The sequence below is a fragment of the Homo sapiens genome, chromosome 14, assembly GCF_000001405.40.
Source record: "Homo sapiens chromosome 14, GRCh38.p14 Primary Assembly".
Lineage (NCBI taxonomy): Eukaryota > Metazoa > Chordata > Mammalia > Primates > Hominidae > Homo > Homo sapiens.
Window position 1 is genome coordinate 78,850,274 of NC_000014.9, and position 18,035 is coordinate 78,868,308.

General features: G+C 35.6%; 1 protein-coding gene across 52 annotated transcripts in view, besides 1 other annotated feature; it reads left to right on the plus strand.

Annotated features, from left to right (window-relative positions):
• Positions 1-18,035, plus strand: part of NRXN3 (neurexin 3) — a 1,697,919-nt gene that overhangs the window by 679,901 nt on the left and 999,983 nt on the right. The window lies entirely within an intron of this gene.
• Positions 12,980-13,180: a silencer, noted in NCBI's record as "peak2216 fragment used in MPRA reporter construct". NCBI's record gives its function as "represses an SCP1 promoter by STARR-seq MPRAs in K562 erythroleukemia cells {active_cell/tissue: K562}" and the evidence as "EXISTENCE:reporter gene assay evidence [ECO:0000049][PMID:32103011]".

Sequence of the window (18,035 nt, forward strand, 5' to 3'; positions counted from 1 at the left end):
TTACAGAACTCACCCAAGGTTATATGGTCTCTCAGTGACAAAGTGACCATAATACCTCAGGCCTTTACCAAGTTAGTATTCTCTCTAAGACACTGCATGACGGAGTCCATAGTGATTTCAAGTTAGCCCAGGGGTTAAAACTAACCATAGTACATTTGAATACGGATTAACATTTGGTGTGTCCTTTGAACAAAAGGTTAAATAGAAAGGTAAAATGTAGAAAGGTATCTACACGTATTCACTTCAGTCAAGCTTTACTTTTAAAGTTGCTTTAGAATATTCTTATTAAAACCAGTGGTGATTTTCATGCAGCTGTTTTAATTAAAATGTTGTATGTTTTTTATAAACAAAGTGATGAAAATTTCTGGTTATAGCCTTGTAGAAGACTGAGCAGGGAAACCATCAGAATTGCAAGTGGAGCAAAAATGTTATAATTTAGATCATGTGACCGAAATACCACCACCGCTGGGTAGAATCTGCTTAAACTGCAGCTTTGGATTTTTCAGGGGTAAACAAACCTCTTATGAAAAAGAAAGCCATGCATTAAAATTATAAAGGCACATGAAATATTACAGGAAAGAATGAGAGGAAGTAAAGAAAACTAACATTCTTCTGTTTTACTGCTTTCAGGGAAGAGTTTTATGAACAGTTTCCAAAAGTGTTCTTAAGCGGTTGTAGGTTTTATTTTGCTTTACAATTTGACAGTATTTTAAGATTCTGTATTTATTCTCTTTTTGAGCTGAATTATGCAGGACTAAACAGATATCTTTTGTAAAACCTTTTATTTCCCTGACAGTTAGGAGAAATATGAAGTAGGAAATTCTTTGGTAATTGTTGGAGGTTGGTATAGTGCAGTAGATAATGTCCCTTTACTGAATTTATTATCAAAATACACAAGTCAGAGGGAAGGAGATCAAAATATAGCTTCTATTTGGTGATATACTGGTAAATGTTTAATTTTCTTCCTTTTAGAAGAGAGGAGACTGATTTATAGTGTTGACATATTTTTACGGTATAAATACTCCCTCCCTGGTGAAATTCAAGATGCCAATGGGATGTCACTGAACTTGAAATTGGGCAGAGGTTCATATATTTGGCTCTTGCAAGCCAGTGCAAACAGTCTTGGGACAGCACTGCCTGAGTGCATCACTCGTAAAGGCTGTGTTAGAGAGTGTGGCCTAGATCTCATAGATTAGCAGACTTGTTTTAATACATCACTTCAGAATCAGTCAACCTTCAACCACAGGTCTTTTCTTCTTTGGATGCCTGTACCGGTAAAACTTTCAGCAAGAAGGAGCAAAGCAAAAAGTGTGCTTACCACAGGCAGGCTGGCAGCCAGGAGAGTTAGTCGTCTCCCAGACTCTACCAATCTGATGAATTCACAATCTGAATCAAGCTGGGGAGGCCAGGCATGTCACTCAGATGGAAGGAAACAACGAAAGTGAGAAATAAATGTTAACTCTTAGCAGCATCAGAATTCAGAATGATTCTTAGAAAAATGTTACAGGGTTTGTGTCAACAAGAAGGTCAGAGGCAGAACTGTATTTTAAATATCCAACATTTTGGCATATAGCTATTCTAGCAAAAGCATCTTTGAGGCTGTCATGTGGCAAGAATTGTGGTTATCAGAAAAAAAAATAGGAGTTTTTAGGTTACACTTAAAATATAAAGACCTTAATAGACCTTTATTTTATAGAAAGATATGGAAGAATAAATTTATATTCAGTTCCTTCAAATTAAATTATTTTTTCAACTGGGTGTAACTGAAATAAATAGGGCAGCCATAGTAATTTTACTTAAGCAACTTCATTGCCTCAGAGAGCAGATGATGAACTATTTTAGTGAATATATGAAATGATATCTGGCAAGAGAAAAATACTTGATCATCTCACTTCCTTCTAGTTGATGTTCAAGAGTCCCTGCATCCAGATTTACAGCTCTTTGCTTACACATCCATCATTGTTAATATGCCAATACCCTGACGAAGCAAGCCTGGTATTGGCTGCATGAGTCAGTTTTTCCTGGTAGAGAGTGGTTTATTATTCTTGTTGCTGCTGTTGTAGTATTAACATCTGACAATTTGATAATTAACAATGATTATAAATTAGCTTATTACTATAATGACATGAGTCTAAGTGGACATTTGATATAGCTTATTTTTGAGTGTAAAAATTCTGGTTCTAAGTCAGGTGTCTGGAAGTGTTTTGTTATTATCACCGTGCTAGAAGATAAAATCTGAGTTCTGAATCAACCTACTTTCTTATTCTGTTGCCTGTGACATTGAATCTCATGTTCATATGTTCATGTGTTTTATGTTCATATGTTTTTACATTTGCTTCCCTTTGTTAGAATTTCTGGTTAGGTGTGACCCAAAACTCTTAAGTCAGGTGGAGGAGCATTTTAGGACTGGCTCTGCCATTTAACTTAAATAATAAGTTATTAAGTTATTATAACTTAAATAATAAGTTAATGAATCTTTCCAAATCTGAGCTTTCTCATATATAAAATAAGAATGCTAATGCATCTACCTCCTAGGCACCAGTAAAGATTAAGTGGAATCATGTATATAGTGTGTAACACATTTTGTGTGTGTGTGGTTAGTTTCTTTTTTTTTTTTTGAGTTTGTTTTAATTTTTAGCTTTCTCAAATAAGAGAACATGTGAAGTTTGTCTTTCTGTGCCTGGCTTATTTCACTTAACATAATGACCCCCAGTTCCATCCATATTGATGCAAATGACAGAATCTCATTCATTTTTATGGCTGAATAGTACTCCATTGTATACATGTATCATACGGTTTTTTTTACTATTATACTTTAAGTTTTAGGGTACACATGCACAACGTGCAGGTTTGTTACATATGTATACATGTGCCATGTTGGTGTGCTGCACCCATTAACTCATCATTTACATGAGGTATATCTCCTAATGCTATCCCTCACCTCTTCCCCTACCCCACAACAGGCCCCGGTGTGTGATGTTCCCCTTCCTCTGTCCAAGAGTTCTCATTGTTCAATTCCTACCTATGAGTGAGAACATGCGGTGTTTGGTTTTTTGTCCTTGTGATAGTTTACTGAGAATGATATCATACATTCTTTATTCATTCATCTGTTGATGGACACATAGTTTGCAGGGGTACATGTGCAGGTTTGTTGCATAGCTAAATATGTGTTATGGGAGTTTGTTGTCAGATTATTTCATCACCCAGGTATTAAGCCTAGTACCCATTAGTTATACAGTAATTTCTTAATACATATTATAACATTTGTTAATTGTATAAGTTAAAAATTTTATTACTATAATATTTGTTAATTTTATAAATTTTGTATGATAAAATACGTGTATTACATTCAATGCATGGCTACAATTAGTCCACGTTTAAGGACTGACTCACTTTCTAGAATTTGGCAATACTATGTCTCTCAAAGTTTTCCTAATGAAATAAGCTATTTATCTTTCCAACCCACAGCTCTTCAGGTTCACATCTATTTCTTTGCTTTCTCACTGCCCTGACTTCTACCCTTCCCTTTTTGTCTCCCTAGTACCCAAAGTCCTCTTCCCCACTGCACCTGCCATTCTTCTCCAGGTGAAAGTCTGATTTAGGAAAAGTGTATGAGAAACTCTCATAATAAAGAGTGCATTTGTATTCTTAAAGCATTACAGCAGAGCTAAAGCCTAAGAGTATAATTTCAATATTCAGGCTGTGGGTAAGAGAGGTATTTGCTCAGCCGTAGATTCCTTTTGATGCCTCTGAAATCACTGTCATATCTGTAACTATCTATTGTACAGTCCATATGGCAACCTTTAATTATACCTGTTGGAATAATCCACTTAGCCAAAGTCAAGCATCCTCTGATTACGTGTTCTCTTGTTATTTCCTAGTTGTCATATATCCTTGGCAGCTGTCATCAGCCGAATTTGGTGTTTCTAATTTTTAGTAGCTGTCATCCTGTCCCAAGTTTCTGTAACACATGCTTCGGCCTTGCCAAACATGATTTGCTTTAACAGTTAGTCATAATTTTTTGGGCCTTACCTTGGCGGGCTAGTGGTCACATTTTACTGTAGGTGATCTTTACAAGTGACTTCAGCTCCCTCTTCTAGCTTTACCTTTTTTTTTAATTGCACAAAATTCTATGTAGCATGTCAATCGATAGGCAAAAAAAGATCTGTTAGCCTCCATTACCCAAGAGTGGGCCATATTTCAGTGGTAGGTAAATTTGGTCCAATAGTTATGTTTGAAATGCCAACAATGAATAAATTAAATTAAAATTTATTGAGCACCTACAGTGTTATAGTTATTTGCTTGCTAATTTGATTTTAAGTGTGTGTATAAGTATATGCATGTGTGTGAGTGTGTATAATAGAGGCTATTCTTTTCAAGGTCATACAGCTACTAAGTGGAAAAGCTATGAATTAAATGAAAAGTTTCCTGGCTAAGAAGTCCTTGCTTTGTCCTCAAAATAGGTTTTTGCTAAGCCTACATTAGTTAGAATGGGAAATATATATAGAGATATATGGGCTGGGCACGGTGGCTCACACCTGTAATCCCAGCAATTTGGGAGGCCAAGGTGGGTGGATCACGAGGTCAAGAAATCGAGACCATCCAGGGAATATTGTCACTGAGGTGGAGTAAATTAAGCGTATATAAAAATACAGGTTGAGTAAGGTTATGATAGCTACTGAGTAAGGTTATGATAGCTGGCCAACATGGTGAAACCCCGTCTCTACTAAAAATACAAAAATTAGCTGAGTGTGGTGGCACACACCTGTAGTCCCAGCTACTCGGGAGGCTGGGGCAGGAGAATCACTTGAACCTGGGAGGCCGAGGTTGCAGTGATCCGAGATCACGCTGCTGCACTCCAGCTTGGGGACAGAGCGAGACTGCATCTCAAAAAAAAAAAAACATACAAAAAAGGTATATATGACTATAGCCCTTTTTCTTCATAAGGTTTATAGTCTTCAACGATAGAGTGACTTTTATGTTTTTCTACCAGAAGATTCGAAGTTTTGTAGAGACAAATGTTTATGACATTATTACTTTGGTAAAGTTCAGTAAAGCAAACAAACAAGATGAAAACCTGCCTGCTGAGGGTTGGTTAATCTCTTCTGAAAAAGGTACACTTTGGTATAATGATTCATAAAAAGCATGTGGACACTTTACAGCTTTACATTTAGAATAAAACCTGTAATCCCAATGCCTGTTCTATGTGTTATACCTGTGTTTTCCTGAATTATATGTCTGTGTACCTCCTCTTTATACAGTGTTTCATCTAAAAGGGTGGCATTTACTGCTAGAATTTGAGATCATGAAAAGGAATGATTTTAGCACAAAAAAAACTAAACCTGTTTTCTATCAAATTCTAAGAACCCAGAGGCAATGAATGCTACTGTCAAAAATAATTTGAAGAAAGTGTATCTGACAGTATTTTTCAAATTTAGCTACAATTTTGGTTTTACTTTGGGGTATTGCTCCAGTGGAGATTCGTTCATGATTGTATACCTTCCTAGAATATACAGATTTTTCTTATTAGGCATTCTAAGGAGAGCTTGTTACTGACATTCTGCAGAACTTTACAGTCATAGTATTTCATCTGTAATATTATCTTATAGAATATAAAGATTTTCCTGTAAAAATGGAAGTGTCCCCAAGCCTGTGTTTCTAGTCATGTTTCAATCACTAAGTAGCTTTCTGACCTGGTCAAGCCACTTTACCATCTTTCTGGGTCTTCTTTCCTCATTGGTACCAAGAAAGGGTCAGAGTATTTGAACCTTAATGTCTCTTCTTAGTTCCACCATGTTGCTATGCACAACCCTCATCCACTGCTTATGACTGCTGTGTAAAACACTCCAACCTCAGTATGCCTACAGGCATTCCACAGGAGGTCTATGAAGCTTTTCACAGTTGCAAAGTCATTTTTCCCCTTTGGAAACTGGACTTCAATACCATTTTGGTTCAACATGTGTTTTCTTACACTGATAACAAGAATGGGGGCTCCTAAAAGCATAGATGTTCTTTATGACATCAACCTCGAAAATGTAAAGGATATATTCAAAATATAACTCCTCTAAAGTAAGTAACCATTTATCCAAAAATTTAGAGGGTATATTCAAAATATAACTCCCCAAAAATAAGTAACCATTTATAAAGTAACTAATGTAAATACTTCTGGATTCTAAAATGTATATTGGGTTCTTGGGAACTTGAAATAGCAATTATTTTATAAATCCTTTGTAATAGTCAATAGCAAAGTAAGATCATTGATGTGTGTTTACTCCTTGTTGTCTCTTCTTATACGTTTTTCCAGAGGATGAAGTTCAGTACAGTAATAAAGTAAAATTAAAAAAAAGCTAATGTATTTGTAGACTTCTAAAGTCTTCAAATATTTATTCTGCCCTGTTGAGTGTCTTATGGATAGGTAATATTATCTTTAAAGGTGATGCTCAACTTTCATGCTGTTTTATTTGTTTTTTTCTTGAGACAGAGTCTCAGTCATTCTGTTGCCCAGGCCGGAGTGCAATGGTGTGATCTTGGCTTTCTGCAACCTCTGCCTCCCAGGTTCAAGTGATTCTCCTGCCTTGGCCTCCCGAGTAGCTGGGATTACAGGCGTGTGTCACAATGCCAAGCTAATTTTTGTATTTTTGTAGAAACATGGTTTCACCATGTTGGCCAGGCTGGCCTCAAACTCCTCACCTCAAGTAATCTGCCTGCCTCAGCCTCCCAAAGTGCTGGGATTACAGGCACGAGACACCACACCTGGCCTGTGCTGTACTATTTATTTTTTTATCCCATGGTTACATATGTTATGCAATGAAAATGTTTTCATGCTACACATCAAGTATAAAACTCTTCAGGCCAGACTCCTATACAGATTAAGATGGCATATATGAATTGTTTTTTTTTTCTTTCTCCCAAAGGCATAGGTTAGGCATATTTACTGTCTTTGCCAGGCCTTTTCTCACTTTTTAAGACATCCGAATGTGTAGATTTCCTTCCTTTTCAACATTTACATTGGAAGATGAACATATTTAGAATGAGCCAAAAGAAAAAATGCTGCATAAAGCAGTGTTGAAGGAAGTTATTCTGGCAGTCTTAGGGTTGAAATTCGCAATCCATTACAAGCATGGAAGCTGTAGAGCCTTGGATGAGGCTCTACAAGGATTGGGATTTGTAGAAATTTGATGCGTCCAAACTCTGTAATTACCTTAAAGAAATCCAAGCTTTCTGCAATTAAAAATGTGTAATTAAAAAGTCATCCAGTGTGTGTGTGTTTGTGTGTGCGTGTAATTTATATCCATAAATATGCATCTACTATGTGAAACATCTCTTAAGGGATATGAATGTATGCTGAAATAATTCAGCTAGTGTAAAGAGGGAAGGAAAAAATAATTTATATTACTGGGGGAAGGCAGTCAGATGAATATAAATGGGGAAGCACCATCCCCAGCAGAGATAATAGGTTGAGAAGGAGCTATAAATAGGGAAAATCTGGGTGTGTATGGAAAAAGTGACTTCAACATATGATTAATTAGAGGTGGTGGGGAAAACAATCAAAGAAATATCAATGTGTAGTAAGTAAAAAATGTGGAAGGGTGGTGGGTAGAGGAGCAAAGTATAGTGGAGGTTACTGAATGCACAGAAAAATAATTAAACTCTTAGGTTATACCCTTATCCAAGATTCTGAATTAGTTTCTTCTACTCAGCTTTTCCGGGGATGGTTAGGGCTTCTACAGATAGGAAGTAGAATGCTGTGAAAAGAAGGTACACTTACGAAGGAAAGTTTCTGAAAATAAACCAGAAAACTAATTTGCTAGGGGAGTTCCCTAGTGGCAGAGAGTTTACACCATGTGTTGCCCTTTCTCTCTGCACTTCCAGGAATTCCATCTGCAGAAGGTGAGTGACAGGCCGGTGGTGCTGGTAAAGTCTGTGCTGAGGCAGTAGGAGAGCTGATGTCAATGACAAGGCAACCCTTGACTGCAGCCCTGACACCTGTCTGGGGAATTTAGACTTTAGTGACAATCCTTGACCTGCCATGCAAATCTGGAGCTATACCATTGAATTATTGCCCGTGATTGGGTGTGGAAATGGAGAGCTTTGTGGGCCAGGAAGCAGGCAGTTTGTAATGTGTGGATTTTTAGCCCGGCAAGCTAGATGTTCTACCTTCACTAGAGTAATTTTAATTCATTCTCTTCTGAAGAAAGAGGTAAAGATGAAGGTTGTCTAGGGAGGAGGAATCTCAATATTTTTCTTCATTAGGACAGTTATAATGTTGAGACCAAAAAGATGTAAGTAAAGGTAATTAACAAAGGGCAATCTACTTCCTTTGGAGCTTATAAATTCCTCAACTACTTAGAAATGCTACTCTGTCTCACCCTGACATTTGATCTTTGTACTTCAGATAGGATTTGACGTACGTTTAAGTTCTCAGTGGACTCAGGTTTCCGGAGGACTTTTTTGTTAACTGCTGATTGAACCTTTATTCTGCTCCACATGATTCCTTTGCCAGCTTGTTTGAAGTGTTTGTTCCTGGTGGAACCACAACAAATATGTGAGCTCATTTTCTTTCTATTAGGTAAGGTCTTTAGAGTTTGGGATTTCAAGTATTCAGTGTTTCATGCCTTCAGTGTTCTTTTAGAAATCTGTATGTATTCCTACATTTTTCACAGGCAGTAATCCAGAGAATCTGATATGGTTTGGCTGTATCCCCCACCCAAATCTCACCTCAAATTGTAATCCCTGTTATCCCTATGTGTCAAGGGCAGGACCAGGTGGAGGTAATTAAATCACAGGGGGGCGGTTTCCCCCATGCTGTTCTCATCATAGTGAGTTCTCACAAAATCTGATGGTTTTATAAGTGTCTGGCATTTCCCCTGTTTGCAATCACTTTATTCTGCCACCCCATGAATAAGGTGCCTGCTTCTCTTTTGCCTTCCACCATGATTGTAAGTTTCCTGAGGCCTCCCCAGCCTTGAGGAACTATGAGTCAATTAAACCTCTCTCCTTTGTAAATTACCCAGTCTTGGGTACTCCTTCATAGCGGTGTGAGAATGGACCAACACTGGATCAAATCTGGCTTATGTAAATCTGGAATAAAGAGTAATAAAACCAACCAGATGCTAATAATATGACGCCACCTCTTTTCTCCCATCCAAGATGTGATTCTCTAGATTTTCCAGTCTGATGATGTTGTGGAGCTCGCAGTTGACCTGTATCTTCTTGATATAAGTTCCATGTGGTTGAGCTTGGCGTTTATAACAGAACAGCAAAAAATGGGATCCCTTTCATCAGAATTCCCCTCTTTGCCCCCACACTTTGTAGCAATTCCCTGTTTGCCACTTTCAACTCTTTGTTGATCTAATTATTGGTATGTCTACCCAAGAAAATCTTAAGCTTATTTGGGGACTGTGGTCTTGTTATATATATCATCTCCCGAGATACTAGAATAGCTTAAGTACCCAATTATTATTCAGTAAGTGCCTGTTTACTGTTGGACTTTCTTGAAAATTCATATAGAATACCTTCATTTTCTTCACACTTTGGTCTGTAAACAGTGTGGAAGTAGTGAAGAAGACACAAAGTCACTTTAGACATGTTTATTACTCTCACTTTTATCCTCTCCCCTCCATCAGTGAAGACTCCTACTTGCCATCTTTCCTCTAAAGATCCTTAGTCCCTGAGAAGCAAGAGCTACTGAAGATTATATCCTAATAAGTTTCTAAAACTCAAAAGTTTTGGTAGGAAAGAACATGTAGGCTTAATTCCTTTCTCTTTGACAGTTTGGCCCAATTGGATGCTCAGGTGTAATATGCTATTATTAGCCCTGAGATGAAAATTTCAGGGCCAAAATTATTAGTAAAACACTTAACATTTATTAAATTTTTACAGAGTATTTAATGTGTAAATATTTACTGCACTGGGTACCTTATATGCATTGTTACATTTAATTCTCATTATAATGATTTATTAGCTATTACATAGGTATTTTTACTATCATCCTTATCTATACGGAGAGTGAGGCTTGATGGGATCAAGTAATTTGCCAGTGTCTACTAGCTCTTAGATAGTAAATTCAGCATTCAAGTTCATGCTTAAATTCTACCCTCTATGCCCTCCATCTTATATAAACCTTAACTCCAGGAAAAACTTACCTGTCTTGTACTAACTGTCATATATTTGGTAGGAGAGGCAAGGAGACATTTTTCTAATCACATTCTTTCAGTATGTGTTGGGATAAATTTCAGGGGTTGGAATTTCCATCAAGTGCACATGTACACCTCTTAGAATTGTCACTTTAGGTTATGACAACTAGGATGCATTTTTTAAATAAAAGAAGTGTATTTTGTATATGTATTATATACTGTATTCTTACAATAAAGTGAGCTAAAGAAAAGAAAATGTTATTAAGAAAATATTAGGAAATATTAAGAAAATGTTATTAAGAAAGAGAAAATATATTTACTATTATTACCTGAAAGTGGATCATCATAAAGGTCTTCATCATCATTGTCTTCATGTTGAGCAGGTTGAGGAGGAGGAAGAGAGAAGTTAGTCTTGCTGTCTCAGGCATGGCAGAGGTGGAAGATATGGAGGAGGTGGAAGGAGAGGCGAAGGAGGCAGTATATTCAGTGTGAGCTTTATTGAAAAAAATACACATATGAGTGGACCTACACAGCTCAAATGCATGTTATTCAGGGGTCGACTGTACCTTGATAATAACATCACTGCCATTACCGTATTCTGAGTTGGTGGTATAAATGGCATTTTTCTAGGTGATCGTTATATATGTGTATCATGTATATTACCAGGTATAGTCCTGTAATAGTTCCACCTTTCTGCATAAAAGTCTTCACAAAGCTAAACTGAGAGTTATAGTAACTGTAATTATGGAAGGTAATCACAACAGGAAATATGTTATATGAAATACAACTTTTACAAGTTGTTTTACAGTTTGTGTTATATGAAATAACAATTATAGGCTTTGTTATTCTGAACATTAATTTGCATTAGCCAAACAGGAGATTCATTTTAGGAATATTTGTATCTGTCTACTCTTTCTATTATCTATATATACCAATAAACATTGACAAACATTTAAGCATTAGAATTTTTGTCTCAATTGAATGAAGCTTTCAAAGATGCTTTTTCTTTTTTCTTGGAATCCTGTTGAATTTCCTTGAAAAATAAATAAGAGTTCACACCTTCTCAGAGTTTCCTCTGAGGTGTTTTGATACTGTTAACATGAGCATCAAAGTAATACCAACTCTTAAAACACACATAATTACTTAACTATCAGTGTATTTCTAAGAACCCTGTCATATGCACCCTTCTTATTTTATGCTCATGTTGTAAATAGACATACATGATGCTGTGCTGTCATAGAGAAACCATCCATGTTCACTGCTTAAAGAAGTGAGTGTGAGTTTGAGTGTGAGTCTGTGATGTATGTTTAGTCTGTAATAACAATTCTATTAATTCAATACTGTTTTAAACATGCACTCACATCCTGTCATCAGTAAAACCAAGTGTCAGTTATCCACACAATTAATCAAGTTCTCACTCAGGCTTTCTAGTAATTCAACTAGTTTCCCATTTCCTTATTTCTTCTAGGTGACATAGTTGCTTCTCCATCTGTAAAGCCAGTATAGGATATTTTAATTATTTAGTTAGCAATGTTTTTATTAGGCACTCTTTTAGGCACTGACGATATTAAAGTGAACAAGACAGATAAGTCCCTGTTTCCATGTGAACTAGAGTTTACATTCCAGTTGTACTAGTAAACAACTAAAACCTCTACATAAGGCAGTTTAATATTGAAGAATGTCCTGAGGAATATGAATCAGAACAATGTGGTAGTGGTGTGGTATACACATACTATTTACTTAGGGAGACCTTTCTAGTTGGTGACTTGAACTTACACATGAATGAGAAGTAGCTAGTCACAAGAATATCTATAACAAGATTGTTATAAATAGCAAAGATAGATAGATAGATAGATAGATAAATAGATAGATAGATGGAAAAAGCCCTAAAGTATGAATGAGCTTGGCAGATTTGAAAAATAGATTGACTAGTAGAGAGTGGATATTTGCGAAGATTTATTACTAATGATAGATCTTTAAATATCCACATAGCTTTAAGGGAGCAGTAAATTTAGCTTAAGGTTAGTAAAATGTTCAGTACCAGCAGGATATCCCTATAAGATTTTTTAGGATTACAGAACTTGGATAAATGGTAAATTGGATCAACATCATGCCAATTAAATTTGTTGTATGGTCTGTTTTATTAAATCTCTAATTCGTATTTATATAATGTATAATTATAACTTGCTGCTTATACAGAATGGTTACCCGTTTAGTATTTTATCTGTTCAACAACCATTTACTAATGTCCTATCATATGCAAGATAGAGTACTAGGGGCTGAGTATACAAAAATAAATAAGACCACTCTGTCATGAAAACATGTACAAAAAAGTAGATAACACAGGATTTAAATATATTTAGTGGGAAATATGTTTTCTCAGTTTAAACATATAAAAATTATAAAGTGGAATTTCAGATGAGAGTGGCATTGATAGATATAAGTAGGCATAGCTGATGCAGAGAATGTTAAAATATAATTTTGCAGGTCTGAAAAACCATTTGACATTTCCTTGTAATTCTGGATTAATGCTTATATGATTATCTCTGCCACAGTGGAAAAGTTTATAAATTTAAATTAATGGAAATTGCTGTTGATGAAACCCTCTAGAGGATAATACATTTCTGATATGCCTATAGGGCTCCGTATTTAAGCTAAACTCCTGCCCAAGATGCAGGATGATGAAGTCCTTTATTTCGGCCATCAGACCTATTAAAACCACGAGTATCCCTGTGAGTCCACAAGTCAGGCTACAATACAACATCCTCAATCTGACAAGAAAATCAACTGATTTACTGAATTTATATGAACCAATTCTTATATGCATGACAGCCAAAAAAGTTCCAAAAAGAAAACAAATTTTGCATTAGTATGAGATTTTGAGGTTAGGAGCCTACGTTTAGAGGTTTATCAGTTCAGCCCCCGTATGGAGCTATCCAGGGTGCTGAACGTGCTCTGCAACTCAGTCCCCTTAGTCTCTGGGCTTGACCTATTTTTTCCATTGTTGTTTCTTATCTTCACCTTTTATTCCCTACCCATACTGCCTGCTCTGATTGCTCTTTGTATGATCTCATCAATCATATGTGACAGATTTTTGTCCCGACCCTTGCTATGCCCTACATTCTAACCTAGTACATTCTTCAACCCATGTTTAGCCAAATTTCAATTAAAATTTATACCTACAGCCTTCCCAACAAGTGCCTTGACTCTCAATTTTGTTTCTTGAAGCAATGAGATCATTGATTTGATCTCTAATTATAAAGTAATTAAAAACAATTTTATTTCAGTCCACAAATACATAAATATTCTAAAAAGGAGCCTTTAATTCATTTAATAATCCATAAAAATAAACTGAAAAATCAAGCGTGGACTTCTTTGTCACTTTCCTCTTTTTCATTGTGACCTTCTCTCTCCTCCCACTTCTCCTTCCTCCTCATCATCATTATAAATTCAATGAGTCAGAATGGTTTAATTGAAATTCTTCATTTAAAAAGTAGGATCTTGGTAAAATGTAGGTTCAAAGACAATTTTACAATAGTTTAACCTTAGTAGATGAAAAATAGTAAAAGTATAAACAACTCCTGTGAACATATTGTCTTTGAAATTGGTAAAATAAATAAAATTGAGATCACTTCTTACTGTACATCTCCAGCTTATTTTAGGATGTATCTCTTCCTTTCTGACTGGAAGACTCAAAATACATTTAGAGAGTTGGAGCTGGTGTTGACAGTCAATGATTAGGGCAAAAGTTTTGCATGTACTTCACCTCTGTATTTCTCCCTAATTTCATCCATTGTAATTTAAGAAGAAGGACATGCCTGAATTGAAAAGTTCAACAAGTGAACTTTTGAATAAACAGTGTAGATTTTTATCTTAGGTCCACCAATCCCTAACCATGTAATCTTGGGTAAATCTTTAACTCTATGGATCTATATTTTTTAAATTTGCAAATTGAGAATAATAAAACATCCTCACACTGAAGATTCCTGCCAGAATTATATGAGATAATGCATATCCAAAGTTTAGGGCAGAAACTGAAACCTAGCCAACATTTTAAAAATGTGAATTATTGTCATTAACTTATCCTTTCGGTGCTTCACCTCTCCATACATTTTAAGATACTCTGGTCATTATGAGTACTTGCCACAAGTATATAGGAGATAAAAGATTTATTTTCCCACCCATTATTAGGTTCATAGCTGAGGTATCCTGTAATAAGAGACAGATTAACAGGAAAAAAAGCATACAAATTAATATAATTTTTATGTGACATTGGAGCCTTTGAAGGGAAGACCCAAAGAAACAGGGAATCCTGTGTATTTTAGACTTTGGTTTCATAAAGAGTGGACAGTCTTGGGGAAGTATGGCTGGACAAAAGTGGGCATGGCCTGATGGTAATAAGCTGGGGGAAACTTAGCAAGGCCTATTGTTCAGATTCTTCCTGGTGTCTCTGTGTGTTCAGCTGCTTTCCTCTAGTTCTAGAGAGAATACCTCTGAATGAAGGTCTTTATGATTTGCTTTAGATGAAAGTCAGAGGATTATTTTATGGTCTGCTTCAGGGGAGAAGAGTGAGAGAAAGTCAAAGAGATCTTTCTGCTTCTGCTGCTTTCTCAAATGCCAAGTTGCTGTATTTTGGGGTAGTATGTCCTGAACCCCATCAGGTACTTGACATTTCATGAAGGTAAGCTGATCAATCTTTCATCCATGGCACTCATTAATGTCTCAATTTGAAATGTTGTGAGCTATGAAAAAAAGACAAGGAAGGTAGTGCTTATCTACTCATGAACAACCATTATTAACTCACTATTAATCATTGATTACAATTGATCTATTGGCCATGGTATTGTTGTGAACTTTGAAATATATTGTATTAACATTTCTATGAAAATGGTGGTTGAAATTCTGCAGGCAGATAATGCAGTGTTAACATAATAAGTAAAATAATTAATGATAGTGAAGTTGTAAAAGTAAGAAGGTTCAATGTGCTTGAAAGTCACAGAATTTTGAAAAATGCAAGAGATAAGGAAAACTGATGAACAAAATGTGACAACTTGAGACTGGCTATGCATACTGAAATGAACCAGTGACTTTTAAACTAGAATTCTTAGAGTGTACAGCCTACAGAAATGTAAATATGGCTAATACAGGTAACTTTCTAATTTAAATACCTATCAAAGCTTCTGTTGGAAGAAAACTAGATTTATACATTGTGACATGCTCAAAATCCTTGTCTTCTCCAACACCATCTCCAGTAAAATACTCCTAGCATAAAATTTATTAAAGTGAATATCTCTGAAATTAGGTTCTTTTGGAATTAAACAAAAGAGACCATGGTTTTCCAGGCATTGTTGTAGATGTCACTTTATAATAAGACAGATAAGGCAGTCAGTATACAGAGGTTTGGTTTTATGGCCAGAACTAACATTTATTCAATCAATGAGAGAGATCAATTAGAGCAGCATTACTTCTACAGTGGGAAAATTTCAGAGCCCCTGAAATAGAACATTATTGTTAAATTATCAAATATGTTACAGTTGTTGCTAGTATAATGACCCTTTCTCTTTATCAGAATCAGGGAAGAAAAAAGCCAAATGGTGACTAATTTATCACCAGGTTCATAACTAAGTTACCAAAAGACTGAAACTAATCAGGTCTGATTTTCAAAATAAGCAATAACATTTAAAGCATATTTGAATATACAGATGTTTGGATCACTGATATCCTAAGAATTCTATAGTCTCTGCTGATTTTAAAGTCGAGATTAGATTGTTCTTGTATACCCAGAGAAGCATAGCTCTAAAGGGAAGGTGTTCTGGGGAAAGAAAAGAAAAAAATGACGTTTTCATCATCACACTGAAAAAGTGCCAACAAATCCTAAGTAATTTTGTGTTGATTATACTAAATTAGAATAGTGATGGCTATAATCATTTGATCCCTGAGGCATTAATGAAAAATCAGCATTATTTTGTGTGGAATATGTATTATTATCCTTGAGCTTAGGAATGATTATTAGTAAGTCTGATTAAATCTGGAAGCAGTGACACAAGCTATCTTTAACCCACCAATGACAGGGCTATATTGTAAATTTATGATGAATGAACACAGTTTAGCATTTTTAGCACTTGTTGGGGAAAATAAGAAGTCTGCATTCATTTTCTTGATTAGACTGCAAAGTAGTACAGAGAAGCTCATAAAAAATTCTTCATAATGAAATAGTGTTCCTACTGATAGATTAACCTATCATAGCTTCCAAAATTCACAGGACTGGTTATCCTTGTATGATCAAAGATATTATTCAGCAACATTCTGGAGATCATGAATTCCTAGATACAGAAGTATAAACAATAAAAATACTACCATGTTGCATGCATGTATTACCTTCATCTTTTTTTTTTTTTTTTTTTTTGAGATGGAGTCTTGCTTTGTTGCCCAGGCTGGAGTACAGTGGCACGGTCTCGGCTCGTTGTAACCTCCGCCTCCCAGGTTCAAGCGATTCTCCTGCTTCAGCCTCCCAAGCAGCTGAGACTACAGGCACACACCACCATGCCCGGCTAATTTTTTGTATTTTTAGTAGAGATGGGGTTTCACCATGTTGGCCAGGATGGTCTCGATCTCTTGACCTTGTGATCCACCTGCCTCAGCCTCTCAAAGTCCTGGGATTACAGGCGTGGGCCACCGCACCTGGCAGTATTACCCTTATATTTTTAAATGCTTTCACATTTACTTTATGGTATTCTTATCATAGTAACTTAAGTGAGTTAGACTTTTTACCACCTGCTCTATCAGTAAGAAAACTGTAGCACAATCCAGTGGAGGTATTTGCTAAAATCACACAGGTTGTCAGAAATACCAGTATTGGAACCCCAGGGTCTTGGTTTCAAGTCTAATATATTTTCTGGGCCTCAGTTTAGCCATTAATTTTATAATTACAGACAATGTTTTTGCTAACATCTTGAATTCTTTCTTTTTAAAAAGATGTCTATTCTGTATTCATAGAAAATATTAGAGATTCTTACTGATCAAATGGATCACAGCAATTGTTTAATTTTAATTTTCAGTGCTAGGTAATGGAGCTCAGAACACACTGACTCAAAATTTGGCATTTGAGGAATCAGCAGAAGGAGGCCGTAGAAACTTGAAAGGAATCTACTTGCCCCTTCTTCCCTGAAGCAGTCATGAAAGCTAACTGAATTTTCCCAGAAAATAGGTCATAAGACTATTATATCAGAGGCGTTCTTCCTGTACCTGGAGGAAAAGAATGTCCTTATCTCTGAAAACATAGGGACACTGAAAAGAATCTGAACAAGTAGGCCTTGCCGTGTTACCCCCAGTTTATTAACATTAGATTGTACTCTTTTGTCCTCCAATTATACTTCCATGCACGACTGTCCACTCTTTATCAAACCTAAGCATAAAAATACCCAGATTTCCCTGTGTCTTCGGGCCTTCATTTCTGAAGGCTCCTGTGTATAAGTTTTATATAAATAAATATATGCTTCTTTATGAATGAATATAAATTTTACTTAATATAAATTTATGTAAATTTAATATTTTTATAATTATAAAATTACAAAAATGATTGTAATTTTAAATCATATATAAATTTATTATAAATTTATATATAAATTTTAATATAAAATATACTTAATTTTACTTAATATAAATTTACTTAATATAAATTATTAAGTAAATTTGTTTTCTCTTATAAATCTGTCTTTATTACAGGAGCCTTATCCAGGAACCTTGTGATGTATGAGTAATCTTTCTCCCCTGTATAGGCAAAATTGTTTCTAAAATCCCCATATAATTTAGGGCAAGTTCTGATCCTTGCATAGTAGCATCTGACACTCAGTAGTAACTTGATTAAATATTAGTTCCTTTTTTCCTAATTCCCACCCC